This window comes from Homo sapiens, chromosome 2 (genome assembly GCF_000001405.40).
Source record: "Homo sapiens chromosome 2, GRCh38.p14 Primary Assembly".
NCBI lineage: Eukaryota > Metazoa > Chordata > Mammalia > Primates > Hominidae > Homo > Homo sapiens.
The window spans coordinates 25,619,384-25,635,824 of record NC_000002.12 but is presented as its reverse complement, the minus strand read 5'-3'; the positions used below and the strand labels follow the sequence as shown (position 1 = coordinate 25,635,824).

The following is a 16,441-nucleotide window of genomic DNA, read 5'->3' as shown; positions in this document are numbered from 1 at the left end:
CTACTTTGCTCGGCTTTTCTTTTTAAGATTCTCTGGGACAGTCTTGTCTTTTTAACATTCATTTTCATATAAACTTTAGAATCTGCTTGCCAATTTCTACTAAAACCAACAAAACAACTCTCCTGTGTTTTTTTTATTCATTTCTTTTTTCAAGTATAATTTACACACAGTAAAATTCCTCTTTTACTGTACAGTCCTGCAGAGATTTTGATTGGGATTCTGTTGAATCTGTAAATCAAGTTGGGGAGAATTGACATATTGCCAATGTTGAGATTTCCTCCTGTGAACGTGGTATATGGTCATCCCTAGAACTATTTAGGTCTTTAATTTCTTTGTAGAGATGTTGCACATCCTTCATTGGATGTTTTTTATTTTTTAAATTTTTATTTATTTATGTTTTGAATCAGAGTCGCTCTATCGCTCAGGCTGGAGTGCAGTGGCGCAATCTTGGCTCACTGCAACCTCCGCCTCCTAGGTTTGATTCTCCTGCCCCAGCTTCCCCAGTAGCTGGAACTACAGGCGCCCGCCACCATACCCAGCTAACTTTTGTATTTTTAGTAGAGACAGTTTCGCCATGTTGTCCAGGCTGGTCTCGAACTCCTGGCCTCAAGTGATCCACCTGTCTTGGCCTCCCAAAGTGCTGGGATTACAGATGTGAGCCACCACTCCCAGCCTCTTCATTGGATTTATTCCTAGGTCTTCAGTGACATGATACTATTATTTTAAAATTTCTTTTTTTTTTTTTCTTTTTTTATTTTTTTATTTTTTTTTATTGATCATTCTTGGGTGTTTCTCGCAGAGGGGGATTTGGCAGGGTCATAGGACAATAGTGGAGGGAAGGTCAGCAGATAAACAAGTGAACAAAGGTCTCTGGTTTTCCTAGGCAGAGGACCCTGCGGCCTTCCGCAGTGTTTGTGTCCCGGGGTACTTGAGATTAGGGAGTGGTGATGACTTTTAACGAGCATGCTGCCTTCAAGCATCTGTTTAACAAAGCACATCTTGCACCGCCCTTAATCCATTTAACCCTGAGTGGACACAGCACATGTTTCAGAGAGCACAGGGTTGGGGGTAAGGTCACCAATCAACAGGATCCCAAGGCAGAATAATTTTTCATAGTACAGAACAAAATGAGAAGTCTCCCATGTCTACCTCTTTCTACACAGACACGGCAACCATCCAACCTCTCAATCTTTTCCCCACCTTTCCCCCCTTTCTATTCCACAAAACCGCCATTGTCATCCTGGCCCGTTCTCAATGAGCTGCTGGGCACACCTCCCAGACGGGGTGGTGGCCGGGCAGAGGGGCTCCTCACTTCCCAGTAGGGGCAGCCGGGCAGAGGCGCCCCTCACCTCCCCGACGGGGCGACTGGCCGGGCGGGGGGCTGACCCCCCCACCTCCCTCCCGGACGGGGCGGGTGGCCGGGCGGGGGGGCTGACCCCCCCACCTCCCTCCCGGACGGGGCGGCTGGCCGGGCGGGGGGCTGACCCCCCCACCTCCCTCCCGGACGGGGCGGCTGGCCGGGCGGGGGGCTGACCCCCCCACCTCCCTCCCGGACGGGGCGGCTGGCCGGGCGGGGGGCTGACCCCCCCACCTCCCTCCCGGACAGGGCGGCTGGCCGGGCAGAGGGGCCCCTCACTTCCCAGTAGGGGCGGCCGGGCAGAGGCGCCCTTCACCTCCCGGATGGGGCGGCTGGCCGGGCAGGGGGCTGACTCGCCCACCTCCCTCCCGGACGGGGCGGCTGGCTGACCCCCCCACCTCCCTCCTGGCTGCCGGGCGTAGACGCTCCTAACTTCCCAGACGGGGTGGCTGCCGGGCGGAGGGGCTCCTCACTTCTCTGACGGGGCGGCTGCCGGGTGGAGGGGCTCCTCACTTCTCAGACGGGGCGGTTGCCAGGCGGAGGGTCTCCTCACTTCTCAGACGGTGCGGCCGGGCAGAGACGCTCCTCACCTCCCAGACGGGGTCGCGGCCGGGTAGAGGCGCTCCTCACATCCCAGACGGGGTGGCGGGGCAGAGGCGCTCCCCACATCTCAGACGATGAGCGGCCGGGCAGAGACGCTCCTCACTTCCTCACTTCCTAGATGGGATGGCGGTCGGGAAGAGGCGCTCCTCACTTCCTAGATGGGATAGCGGCCGGGCAGAGACGCTCCTCATTTTCCAGACTGGGCAGCCAGGCAGAGGGGCTCCTCACATCCCAGACGATGGGCGGCTAGGCAGAGACGCTCCTCACTTCCCAGACGGGGTGGCGGCCGGGCAGAGGCTGCAATCTTGGCACTTTGGGGGGCCAAGGCAGGCGGCTGGGAGGTGGAGGTTGTAGCGAGCCGAGATCACGCCACTGCACTCCAGCCTGGGCACCATTGAGCGCTGAGTGAACCAGACTCCGTCTGCAATCCCGGCACCTCGAGAGGCCGAGGCTGGCGGATCACTCGCGGTTAGGAGCTGGAGACCAGCCCGGCCAACACAGCGAAACCCCGTCTCCACCAAAAAAATACGAAAACCAGTCAGGCGTGGCGGCGCGCGCCTGCAATGGCAGGCGCTGGGCAGGCTGAGGCAGGAGAATCAGGCAGGGAGGTTGCAGTGAGCCGAGATGGCAGCAGTACAGTCCAGCTTCGGCTCGGCATCAGAGGGAGACCGTGGAAAGAGAGGGAGAGGGAGAGGGAGAGGGAGAGCTATTTTAAAATTTCATTGTTATGTTGCTGATGTACAGAAATACAGTGATCTTGATCTTGATCTTATTTCTAGCAATTGTTCTCGACTCATATTAATTTATCTGTAGAATCTTTGATTTCTATGTACATAGTTTTGTTATTTCTGAATAATGACAGTTTCAGTTACTCATTTCCAATACACTGATTATTTCTTTATCTGAATATTTGTATTGGTTTGGCCTCAAGTACTACAGAAATGATGATAGTGGGCATTTTTTATCTCATTCCCATTATCAGAGCAAAACCTTTCATTTTACTATTAAGTAATATGTTTGTGGCAAGTCCTTTGTAGATAACATTTGTCTTAGCCTGTTTTCTGTTGCTTATAAGAGAGTACCTGAAACTGGGTGATTTAAAAAGAAAGGAATTTATTTTGTACAGATACGGAGGCTGGGAAGTCTAAGATTGAGGGGCCATATATGTTGAAAACCATCTTGCTGCTGGGGACTCTCTGCAGAGTCTGGAGGCCATGCACACCATCCCATGGTGAGGAGGCTGAGTGTGCTAGTGCAGGTCTCTCTTCCTCTTTTTATAAAGCCACCAGTCCTACTCCCATGATAACTCATTAATTAGTCCGTTAATCCATGGGTGGATGAAGGCAGAGCCCTCATGACTCAATGACCTCTTAAAGCCCACCTCTCAGTACTGCCACACTGGGGATTAGATTACATTTCAACATCATTTTTGCAGAGGACAAATATTCAAACCATGACAACCTTAATCAGATTAAGAAAGTTTCCTGATAGTGTATTTCTTCATTTCTAAAAATAAGGTTTCCTTTAAAAGTTGTCTTTTGATTATGATTTCTAACTTAATTTCATTTTGATCAGAGAGCATGGTTCATATGATTTTAATCCTTTAACATTTATTGAGATTTGCTTTATGGCTCAGGATATGGTCAATTTCTTTTTTTTTTTTTTTTTTTTTGAGACAGAGTCACGTTCTGTGGCCCAGGCTGGAGTGCAGGGCTGAGATTTCAGCTTACTGCACTTCGCCTCCCAGGTTCAAGCGATTCTCCTGTCTTGGCCTCCCGAGTAGTTGTGATTAGAGGTATGAGCCACCACACCTGGCTAATTTTTGTATTTTTAGTAGAGATGGGGTTTCACCATGTTGGCCAGGCTGGTCTTGAACTCCTGACCTCAAGTGATCCACCCACCTCGGCCTCCCAAAGTGCTGGGATTACAGGCTTGAGCCACTGTGCCCGGCCAAGGATGTGGTCAATTTTTATATGTATCTTTGCGTACTTGAAAATAAAACATATTCTCTCATCAGTGGAGGCTGTACTTTATATAGTGCTCATTATGCCTACTTTGTTAGTTGTGAAGTTTAATTGTCTGTATCTGTACTTTTTGAGTGTGTATTTGCACTATCACTTATTAAGAGAGGTGAGTTAATATCTCCCACTAAGCTTCTGAATTCCTTTGTGTCCCTTTGAGGTTATGTTTATTTTTGTTTTATATGTTTTGAGACTATTCTGTTAGATGTAAATAAATATAAAGTTCCTGTATCTTTCTTTATTTTCTTTTTTCTTTCTTTTTTTTTTTTTGACCACAGGGTCTCACTTCGTCACTCAGGTTGAAGTGCAGTGACACAATCATAGCTAAATGCAGCCTTCAACTCCTGGGCTTAGGCAATCCTCCTGCTGTAGCCTCCCCAATAGCTAAGACTACAGGGATGTGTCACTATGCCTAGCTAATTAAAAAAAATTTTTTGTGGAGATGGGATTCCACTATGTTCTCCAGGCTGGTCATGAACTCCTGGCTTCAAGCTAAGCCAGGAGTGGGATTACAGACATGAGCCGCTGCACCAAGCCTCTGATATCTTTCTTATGAATTAAAACTTTTATCATTATTCGCTGACCCTCTTTAACAATATGTTTTGTCCCACCATTAAAAATTACATAAAATTCATATACTATAAAATTCACCCTTTTAGAGTGTACAGTCTTTTCACTGATTTTTAGTATATCCACAAAGTCGTACAACCATCATCATTATCTAATTCTAGAACATCTTCATCACCCCAGAAACAAACCACATACCCATTAACAGTCACTCCACATTCCCTTCATCTCCCAGCTCTGGCAGCTACTAATATACTTTTTTTTAATGGATTTGCCTATGTGGACATTTCATATATATAGAACCTTAGAATATTTGGTATCTTTTATTTTTAACTGTCTGGTATCTTTTACTTAGAATAATGTTTTAAGGGTTTATCCATATTGCAGAATGCATCAGCACTTCATCCCCTTTTTTTTTTTTTTTTTTTTTTTGGGACGGAGTTTCACTCTTGTTGCCCAGGCTGGAGTGCAGTGGTGTAATCTTGGCTCACTGCAAGCTCCGCCTCCCAGGTTTAAGCGATTTTCCTGCCTCAGCCTCCTGAGTAGCTGGGATTACAGGCGTGTGCCACCACACCTGGCTAATTTTGTATTTTTAGTAGAGATGGGGTTTCTCCATGTTGGCCAGGCTGGTCTCGAACTCCCAACCTCAAGTGATCCACCCGCCTCGGCCTCCCAAAGTGCTGGGATTACAGGCATGAGCCACCGTCACCGTGCCTGGCCACTTCATCCCTTTTTTTGGTCAAATAGTATTCCATTATATGCATATGCCACATTTTATTTATCCGTGTATCTATATTGATGGACATTTGGGTTGTTTTCACTTTTGGCTTTTATGAATAATGCACCTATGAACATTTGTACAAGATTTTGTGTAGACATATGTTTTCAATTCTGTAGGAGTGGAATTGCTGGGTCGTATGGGACCTGTGTGTAACTTCTTAAGGAACTCCTAAATTGTTTTCCAAAGCAGCTGCATGCTTTTGCATTTGCACCAGCAGTTTATGAGAATTTCAACTTCTCTACATCCTCGCTGACCCTTGTTTTCCATTTAAATAAAAAGTCTAGCTATTCTGGCTGGTGTGAAGTGGTATGTTATCGTAGTTTTCTTTTGCATTTCCCTAAATGACTAATGATGTTGAGCATCTTTTCATGTGCTTGTTGGCCATTTGTATATCTTCTTTGGATAAATATCTATTTAAATTATTTTCCCATTTTTAAATTGGGTTATCTTTTTTTAATTGTTGAATTGTAAGAGTTTTTATGTGTCTGGATCCCAGACCCTTAATGGATGCATGGTTTACAAATATTTTTTTCCATTCTTTGGGTTGCCTTTTCACTTTCTTGATAGTATCCTTTGAAACACAGACTTTTAAAATTTAAATAAAATGCAGCGTATCTCTTTTTTGCTGCCTGTACTTGAAGTGTCTTGTTCCTGATCTTGAGGGGAGAGCTTTCAGTCTTCCCTGATTAAGTATGATGTTGGCATTGGGATTTGTTGTAGATGCCCTTTATCAGGTTGAGGAAGTTTTCTTCTGTTTTTAGTTTGTTGTGTTTTTATTATGAAAGGGTATTTGATTTTTCCAAATGCTACTTCTATGTCTATTGAGTTGATCATATGGTTTTCCAAGCTCCGCCCTCCCCCCTTTTTTTCCTGTTACGAATAAAGTTACATCACCTTTGTTTTGGTTGAAAATTGTCATCCACTTATATTTAAATCTTTTTTATGTCCTTTTGTTTTAGACATATCCCTTACAAACAGCGTATAATTTGGTTATTTAAAAAATTGTGAATTTGTCAGTCTTTGTCTTGTAAGTGGTACGTTAGTGTGTTTATAGTCACTGCAGTTAACTGACATATTTGGGTCCGCACCAGCCATCTTTTCTTGTGCTATTTTTGCTGCTTGTTCTGTGTTTCTTGCCTTCTTTTGAATAGTTGTGTTTTCCTAATTTCAGTTCTTCCCCTAGTTTTTCAGCGTTGGAAAGTATACTTTCAGATTTCCTTTACTTGAAAATGTCTTTATTGAACCTTTTTTCTTGAAAGTTTTTTTATACTAGGTGTAGAATTTTGTTGGTGGTTTTGATTTCTTTTCAACACATTAAAATTATTTTGCAGTCTTCTGCTTCCTTTGTTGCTTGAAGTCAGGCATCATTCTTAATTATTTTTCTTTCAAGGAAATGTCTCTTTTCTGTGTAGTTGAGTATTGTTTACTTTTTTTGTGCACTTAAGAAGTTTTTATATTCCATCCAGGAATTTTTGTCGTTTTCAAGAAGAGTGTAGACCCAGCTACCGCGCCTACTTTATTACTGGAAATGGAATTTAAAAGAAAGTCAGCCTCTTAAATAATGGAGGAAATATGCAGTAGATAAATTTATTTTTGGCTGAGCTATGAGTTGTTCAGAGCTCTGAGTAGCCTCTAAAGCATATTAATATTTTACTTAATGCAGTTGTATTTGTCTCTCTCTTTAGGGTCATACAGTAAAGTTTCAGTTGTAAAATGTTGCTTTAGTTGCTCGGCTAAAGTAATACAGTAAAGCTGACTCAAGGTAATACAGCAAATTTTCAAAAAGACTAGAAGTTCTTAGGAGTAGTTCTTGATCTTTTTATCAAGTTATCCATTGTTAGGAATTGCATGGGTCACTATTTGCAGAGACGTGAAATACTCGCTATTTAAATGTGAAGGCTGGAAGTAGTCCTTCCCATACCGCTGTGGTGGCTCCTTGATGTTGTCTGGGACTGATGTTCTTTATTTGACCACAGAATGTTTTCCTCATTGTTGGCTAAAGAGTTTCTTCTCTTTAAACTTAAGAACTAGTTGATAAATTTTAGATTCCTATTGTGAAGGGTAGTACCACACTTTAAAATTGTTGACAGTTTATTTTCTTTGTCTTTTAGTTCATCTTGTTGATATCTGGAACATGATTGAAGCCTTCCGAGACAATGGCCTTAATACACTGGACCATACCACCGAGATCAGTGTGTCCCGCCTCGAAACTGTCATCTCCTCCATCTACTATCAGTTGAACAAGCGCCTTCCTTCTACTCACCAAATTAGTGTGGAACAATCTATCAGCCTCCTCCTCAACTTTATGATTGCTGCATATGACAGGCTAGTAGTACCTTACCTTACACGCTTACTTCATTTTAAGAACACCTGTCTCTGAATCATTCTTCTTCCATACTGCCGTGCTAAGTTGCCTTGCTAAGCTGGCAACTTAGAATCATGATTAAAAGGGAAATTATTGGCTGGGCACGGTAGCTCACAGCTGTAGTCCCAGCACTTTGGGAGGCCAAGGAGGGCAAATCACAAGGTCAGGAGATGGAGACCATCCCGGCTAACACGGTGAAACCCCGTCTCTACTAAAAATACAAAAAATTAGCCGGGCGTGGTGGTGGGCGCCTGTAGTCTCAGCTACTTAGGAGGCTGAGGCAGGAGAATTGCTTGAACCCAGGAGGCAGAGGTTGCAGTGAGCAGAGATTGCACCACTGCACTCCAGCCTGGGCGACAGAGCGAGACATTGTCTTAAAAAAAAAAAAAAAAAAGGAAAATTATTCGGTGTAAGCCCCTCTAGAAACTGGTTCACAGTGACTTACTGTCCTAGAGTATGTCATATATTAAACTCTGGAATATTGTGGAGAATCACATTTGAGATGTATTGTTTGGGAAAATTATAGATACCTTAATACAGCTGTCCTCCAGCTCATGAAAAACACTAAGTTTTGAATTTGATTATGGGGCTTTCTATTTGACTTCTAAGTCTCCTCTTTCTTTTTTCTTCTATGCCTAGTTTGTTCAGAAGGCTAATCTTTACTCTGTAACATCAAATATTGGACTATAGTAACTGATTTTCTCTCTTTTTTTTTTGAGATGGAGTTTCTCTCTTGTTGCCCAGGCTGGAGTGCAATGGTGTGCAAGCTCGGCTCACCACTACCTCCACCCCCCGGGTTCAAGCGATTCTCCTGCCTCAGCCTTCCAAGTAGCTGGGATTACAGACATGCGCCACCACGCCCAGCTAATTTTGTATTTTTAGTAGAGACAGGGTTTCTCCATGTTGGTCAGGCTGGTCTCAAACTCCCGACCTCAGGTGATCCGCCCACCTTGGCTTCCCAAACTGCTGGGATTACAGGTGTGAGCCACCACACCTGGCCAAACAGATTTTCTCTTTATGTCTAGGAACCTATTTTAAATTTTTTCATTGCAGAACATAGTTTAGTAGATCTTGAAACAAAAGAAGAAAACTATTTAAATGTACTCCAATTAAAACGGAAATGATTTGCTGCACTTATATTCGTAGAGAATTGAGTTGGTATTGTAAAGAATGAAACAACAAAATTGTAAAGCACAGATTTATGATTGTGGAAGTACAGAGGTTAAATGGTGATGTTCTGTGAACCAAGAGTTCCAGTTTCTGCTATACTCTTGGCCATCTGATTTGAATGGATTGTCTCTGCTTCATTTTTTGCTGTCTGTAGACCTTCTTTGAGTTCATACATTTGTAAAATGCTATTAGTTATATCTTATAATAGGGAGGAGTCTGTGAATTAGTGGTAACACTATGGAAATGTCAAAGCCAAGTCATAATTTAAGCACTCACTAAATTCACACCATTTTTATAAGCCGTTATCAGATTAGACATTGTATCCGTTTAATAGAAAATTATTAAAGAAATTTACTTATTTTTTTGAGATGGGGTCTTGCTGTGTTTCCCAGGCTGGTCTAACTACTGGGCTCAAACAGTCTTCCCTCCCCAGCCTCTCTAGTAGCTGGCATTACAGGTGTGTACCACTGTGCCCGGCAGAAATCTGAATTTTAAAAATAAGAGTGTGTAAGTGTCATAAGTCCCAGAATTCTAATGCCATTTTTTAGTAATTTTAGTTAGTGACTCCATAGGTTAATTTTTTCCTGCTCAGGAACTGTCTTTTTGTTTCAAAACCCTTAGTAAAAATTGTTATTCTGTAATAAGTAAGCAGCACCTTATCATGACACTGACTCACTCAGTAAACCAATTCATGGGTCACACAACACAAATTAACTCAAGAAACAATATTTTTTAAAGTCAGAAATTAAAACCATCTTACTGTCTAAAAATGGTCAAGCAGAGATTAAAATCTTGGATTCCATAATCATGTCAAGTAAGTTAAATACTATGGCGCTTTAGTCTACTGGGCTGCTCTAACAAAATGCCATGAACTGGACTCTCTATAAACAACACAGATTTATTTCTTACAATTCTGGAGGCTGGGAAGTTCAAGATCAAGGTAGATTCTGTGTGTGGGGAGGGCCTCCTTTCTGGCTCCTAGACGGCACCTTTTTGTGGTATCCTCACATGACAAAGGGGCAAAGGAGTTCTCGGGAACCTCTTTTATAAGGGCACTAATCCCGTTCATGAGGACCCCCTCGTGACCTAATTATCTTCAGAAGGTCCCACCTTCTAATACCGTACCTTGGGGGTTAGGATTTCAACATGTGAATTTTGGGGAACACAGGCATTCAGGTTATAGCATATGGCTAAAGAAGGGAGAGGAAGGAAGAGGGCAGAGATGGCAAAAGGGAGAATGGGAGGACCAAACTCAGAAGCAGAAGGTACAAGGATATCCTGGGCCATATTCCGAGAAAGCTAGACACATACAGAGAGACGAGAATAAGTGGACAGTGAATCAGTTGAAGGCAGATGTGTAGAAACACACACCGAAAATAACTAGCAAAAAAAAAAAAAAAAAAAAAAAATGAGTGAGTTAAGAAGAGTAAGGGGTATAGTATGTTATTAGTGAGTTGGGTAATTTTTACTTTGATGTGTTTAAAACATAGACCATGGTATCAGAATAAATGATCACATCTTTACTAACTTTGATACCTTTATATAATAGAGCTTATTTGGCTATCTGGAAGCTTAAAATTGACCTTCTTGTGTTGGAAAAAAAGAAAGAATCTGGTTATCAGAATGTTAATTTTGAAAACCAGGGCATTTTGTCGTTAAATACTTCAAATGTTAGTCTTTTTATTGATTGGCCGCTTTATTACTTAGGCTGGAGAGTTCCTTTTATACATAGACAACCTAGTTATTTATTTTAATTGAGGCTTCCAGCCTTTGTATTTCATAATTCCATAAGGTTAAAGTTTGAAAGCAAAAATTATTTAATCTTCTCTCACCTCCAAATTTATAGTCCCTGTGTTTGGCCAGATGATTTCTGATCATTATAATAAGAGAGTATAAGACCCTACAACAACGGTCAGGAACAAATAGGATCTAAGACTTTTCCTTAAGTATTTTCTTAAGACCTAATTTTTTTTAATACTGAGAGTTCTGAATATGTTATATTTTGATAATTAAAAACATTGAAAAGCACAGAGACCAATATTCACAAAACACCTGGGTGTAGAATCTTAGTGAAAGCCACAAGGAGTTGTGAAAACACTGATAGCTGCATTTTTTTCCTCTCAGTTTCTCCGGTACAATGTTATTGGTAGTCATACAGTCTGGTGCAAAGGTACAACAAAGGTGCTTTAACCAATATAATAACGATATCCAAATTCCCAGCATGAGATAGAGGAGGTCTTCCTTACTCTTCTATAGCTGAGCCAGTTTCACACTTTAAGGTTTGTTACTTAAAAATCCCCTTTCTATTTCCAACCTTTGTGTTAGTCCAGTGTCTTTAGCTGTAAAAAGCCTACCCACATGGCCTTTTCATAACAACATGTGTATAGGCTGACAAACTGAGGGGTCCAGAGGCAGGCCAGCCCCTCATCTTGGTTGCATCAGAGCTCTGGCTTTATTTCTTTGCGCGGCTTTGCCCCCTTCTTGTATCAGCTCCATCCTTAGGCTGACTTCACAAAATCCCTGTGAGCAGCTTCTACTAAATGCCTCCTCTTTGAAGTTGAGGTTAAGGAAGAGTTGGCTTCTTTGAACACCGAGCAGAAGTACCCATCTTTTAGACACCCATGACACAGCCTCAGGAGGTCCTGACAATGTGTGCCCAAGGTGGTCAGAGCACAGCTTGCTTTTATACATTTTAGGAAGACATGAGACATCAATCAGATACGCTTAAGATTTACATTGGTTTGATCTGGAAGGGTGGGACAACTTGAAGAGGGACAGGGAGCTTCCAGGTCATAGGTAGATTTAAACATATTCTGATTGGCAGTTGGTTGAAAGAGTTATGATAAAGAGTTGTGGAGAGCTAGGTTTTATCACACAGATGAAGCCTGCAAATAGTAGGCTCTAGAGAGAATAGACTGTAGATGTTTCTTCTCAGACTTAAGGTCTGTGTTGATGTTAACACTGGAGGGTATCATGAGGCATGTCCATCCCCAGCTTCCCATCATGGCCTTAACCAGTCTTTCTGGTTAAATTTCAGAGTGCCCTGGCCCAGGAGGGAGTCCACTCAGATGGTTGCAGGGGGCCTTTGAATTTTATTTTTGGTTTACACTTACAATCTAATATCTAGATTTCCTGTGGTTCTTTTTGTACTGTTTGTTGTTTCTGGTTTTCATTAATGATGTTTTATTTCCTATTTGCTTTGTTATTTTTTATTATAGGCTGAACATTATATAGCAAAATTATTTTTATTATATACCAAACATTATATTGCAGAATTATTTGCAGGGATAATTTGAGGCCTAGGATGATGTTTTCTTCAAGAAAGGATGTGTGTTTGCTTCTTCCAGGTGCCTGGAGACCTTAACAATCCAGGATCACGTCAATTCAGTTTCTTAATCAGTACATGTGAGGACCTGTTTACTTCTGGACACGATTACCTTTAGGTGAAGCCTTTGGGCTCTGAGCCCAAACTAATAGGAGAGTAGGGTAAGCAGGACCACGTGTCCTGCCAAGGGACCCCTTCTGCCTTGGCAAGTCCAAGCCTCCATGTCTTTCTCCTTGTCCCCAGTACCATCAAAAAGTTACTCTATACTTCAGCAATTTTGCTTCCCCCTCTGGAATCAAATCACTTACATGGAAAAAGTGATTTCATCCATTGCACTCACCTCCCTGGACATCCAGCCTCTCCTGCATTTGGTAACTTCAGTTGTTAGTTCTCAACAATTTATATTCAAGGAGATTTTTTAAAACTTTCCCCATCTTTTCTTTTTTGCTCAGAGGAAGAGTTGATCAGAATCACCTAGGGTGCTATTACCAGAAGCTCATTATTTCTTCAAATATTTCCTCTGTTTTTGTTTTCTCGTTTTCTGATTGTTGGCATTTCTACTTCTTTCCTCTTTATCTATTAGTGTTCCTCACATATGGTTTAATTTCTTTAACTTTGTTTCCTTTTGGAAGAGTTTATTGATCTGCCTTTCTGCTCATTAATTTGTTCTTCCTCTGGAGCCATCCTACTGTTTATTCCATCTGTTATTTCTTTAGCTATTATATTTTCTATATGTAATATATCTGATTTTTCTTTTTTGGGATTTGTGGTTCTTGTTTCGTATTGTCTTTTTAAACATGTTTATTCTTAGTTTTAAATTCTTGGTCCATTTGTTCTAGGACTTATGCTTCCAAACCTGGTGTATGTTGTTCTGTTTTGTTTTGTTTTTCTAAGTAGTTGTATCCCTGTGTCTAAGGACTAGCCAAGGAGTGGATGTTTGCTGAGAATGTGGGCAGAACTTGGACATGTGGGCTAGAGTGTTCACATGCATGCATAGTCCTTTCAAGCATGGGATGTGCTGGAGGTGGGAAGAAAAGGGGATCAGGTTCTTCCCACGTAGGAGTATGGGGTGCCTTACAGTTCTAAATTTGAACATGACATTTCTGGCCATTATAAAGGTATGTTAGTCAAGGTACAAAGATGGAAATAAATACATATATTTATTTATTTTTCTGTCGTCCAGGCTCTAGTGCAGTGGCACAATCTTGGCTCACTGCAACCTCCACCTCCTGGATTCAAGCGATTCTCATGCCTCATCCTCCTATTTGGGACTACAGGCATACGCCACCACGCCTGGCTAATTTTTATATGTTCAGTAGAGACGGGGTTTTGCCATGTTGGCTAGGCTGGTCTCAAACTCCTGGCCTCAAGTGATCCACCCGACTTGGCCTCCCAAAGTGCTGGGATTGAATACAGCCATAAGCCACTGCACCCGGCCAGATTGCTCTTATACTTTATTTCTGACTGTTGAATCTTATTTTTTCCTCTGATATATTTCATCCATTTATGTTTTACAAATGAGTCTGTGGCCTTTACCAAAAGTGTTGGTTCAGAAATAGAATGAAATTTCACCTTAAAAATGGAATAAACTGGTAAAAAAAAAAAATGATGTATCTAATGAAACTAGTTTGGACAAAGTCTGTAAAATACATCTAAATCTTAAAAAATACAAAATACGGTATTGAACACATCATTTAAAGGCCTAGGGTTATTGTTTACCATCTACAATAACACTCAGTAGAAAACATTCTTGCTAATTTGAACAATCGAAAGATTCCTTTGGTGTAAAGATACTTATATAATTTATAATAGAGTTATATGAAAAAATTCCTGTGTAGTTTGCAAATGTGGCTAACAACCATTTAAAAATGTTGGTTTAGGCTGGGTGCAGTGGCTCATGCCTGTAATCCCAGCACTTTGGGAGGCTGAGACAGGCGGATCACCTGAGGTCGGGAGTTCAAGACCAGCCTGACTAACATGGAGAAACCCCATCTCTACTAAAAAAAAAAAAAAAAAAAAAAAAAAATTAGCCAGGCATGGTGGTGGTGCATGCCTGTAATCCTAGGGAGGCTGAGGCAGGAGAATCGCTTGAACCCGGGAGGCGGAAGTTGCGGTGAGCTGAGATCACACCACTGCACTTCAGCCTGGGCAATAAGAGCAAAACTCCGTCTCAAAAAAAAAAAAAAAAAGTTGATTTAGCAGTTTAATTTGAATCCATTTAAAAAGTTATATTGTTCCCCCTTAATACTGAATGTTTAAAACAAAACAATACAAAACAAAGCAGAAACAAACCAGTCCATTTCAAATAAAAGCAAATGTCTTCCATAAATTCTTAATCTGCCCAGCCTAGCATGTTATGGAATGGATGTTGCTGATAAAAGATAATATTAGGTTACAGTCTTCTTCATTAGTGATTTTTAAACAAAACTGTAATTTCCTGGGAGGCACAGACATTTCATATGTTGGTGTACAGTATTTATTTACATCCCTGCTTGTTTTTAGAAGGATTCAGGATCATAAGAAAAAAGCCAGCCAAGTAAGATCAGAGTCCTATGCTGAGTGGGAAGATTTTCCACCGTTGTAGCACATTTAAATTTTCTTTTTTTTAAGAGACAAGGTCTTGCTCTGCTGCCCAGGCTGGAGTGCAGTGGCATGATCATAGCTCACTGCAACTTTGAACTCCTGGGCTCAAGCAGTTCTCCTGCTTCAGCCTCCGGAGTGGCTGGGACTGTTGGGTGCGTGCCATCATGCCTGGCTATTTTCTTTTGCTTTTTAAAATTTCAGAGCTGTTTCTCAGTGTGAACAGGCTATTTATTTTATTTTTTATTTTTTGTAGAGACAGGGTTTTGCTTTGTTGCCCAGAGTGGTCTTGAACTCTTGGCTTCAAGGGATTCTCCAGCCTCGGCCTTCCAGAGTCTTGGCTTACAAGCATGAGCCACCACACCTGGCCATCCATCACTTACTTACTCTTTATCTTGTAGCTTTTCTTCCAACAGAAGTCATGAGTTTGTGCTAATTTACAAATAAGAATCTTCTGAATTCAGAATATGCAGACTTGCAAAGGGTTTTACCATTAACTAATCTTTCAGAAAATTTTTTTTGTTTATTCTTTTGTGCTTTTCATTTATTTTTTTAAAAGAAAGGGCAGGAGGAATGCTTTATTCTGAGTGTGTTTCTTTTTCCTTGCCTTTGTTTTCTTCTGAAACAGAGAGAAGTAGTAACAAGTCCAGAGAGACTTCTCCTGTCCATTCAGTACCTCACTTCGAAATTAATCTGATCAAGACACTGTTTCATCATGTAACTTCCCACTTCAGAAACCTTCAGAGAATCCCTGTGGTTTTGAATTAAGCTCACACTCCTCCGTTGGTTTAATGATAACACTGCTTACCTCCCTGCCCACACCAACCTCTAATTACGCTCCTGGAGACGCTCTTCTTTTCCAATATGACATGCTCATTTTCCCCAGACAGATGCCATGCGTTTTGTTCCCCCTCAGCTCCCACATCTGTCTGGGATTACCCAGTCTCCTTTTGTTCTGTCCAAATCTTTTCTATTTCTGAGAATTCAACCCAGATTTTTTTTTTATTATTTTTTTTGAGACAGAGTCTCACTCTGTCGCCCAGGCTGGAGTGCAGTGGCGCGATCTCAGCTCACTGCAACCTCCGCCTCCCGGGTTCAAGTGATTCTTCTGCCTCAGCCTCCTGAGTAGCTGGGATTACAGGTGTGTACCACCACGCCTGGCTAATTTTTGTATTTTTAGTAGAGATGGGGTTTCACCATGTTGGTCAGGCTGGTCTCAAACTCCTGACCTCCTGATCTGCCCACCTCGGCCTCTCAAAGTGCTAGGATTACAGGCTTGAGCCACTGCACCCGGCCTCAACCCAAGTTTTTACCTACCATGTAGCCTGCCTTATTATCACCAATCCCATTTTCATCCTTTTGATGACTTACAGTTCTTGTTTATATTATTATTTTGGCCTTTAATTACATAAGGTTGTAAACTGCTTCATAAGTGTTCAAAATGGAATGGATGTCCGTGAGAGCAGAGATTCTGCTTTATATTTCTTTCATTCCTCAATTAGTATAATGCTAGATTATTTATAAATGTTTATAAGATTGAAATGAAAAGCAGCAGGCATTCTGATTGTGATAAAATTGAATAATATTCTAAGTTGATTTTACTTGATTAAAGCTGTTTGACATTTGCCAAATGGATTCTTGATTTGCAGTTGATTATTGCAACATCCATTCA

At 41.6% G+C, this 16,441-nt stretch overlaps 1 protein-coding gene across 31 annotated transcripts in view; it reads left to right on the top strand.

The window, feature by feature from the left end:
* DTNB (dystrobrevin beta) overlaps window positions 1-16,441 on the top strand; it is a 296,335-nt gene that overhangs the window by 37,753 nt on the left and 242,141 nt on the right. For all 31 annotated transcript variants that reach the window (NR_147180.2, NM_001320935.2, NM_001351393.2 and 28 more), the window contains one exon: window positions 7,441-7,654. Coding sequence is in view for 27 of the 31 variants with exons in the window: in NM_183361.3 (NP_899205.1) it covers window positions 7,441-7,654 (214 nt within the window). In the remaining 4 variants the exon portion in view is untranslated. The remainder of the gene's footprint in view (window positions 1-7,440; window positions 7,655-16,441) is intronic.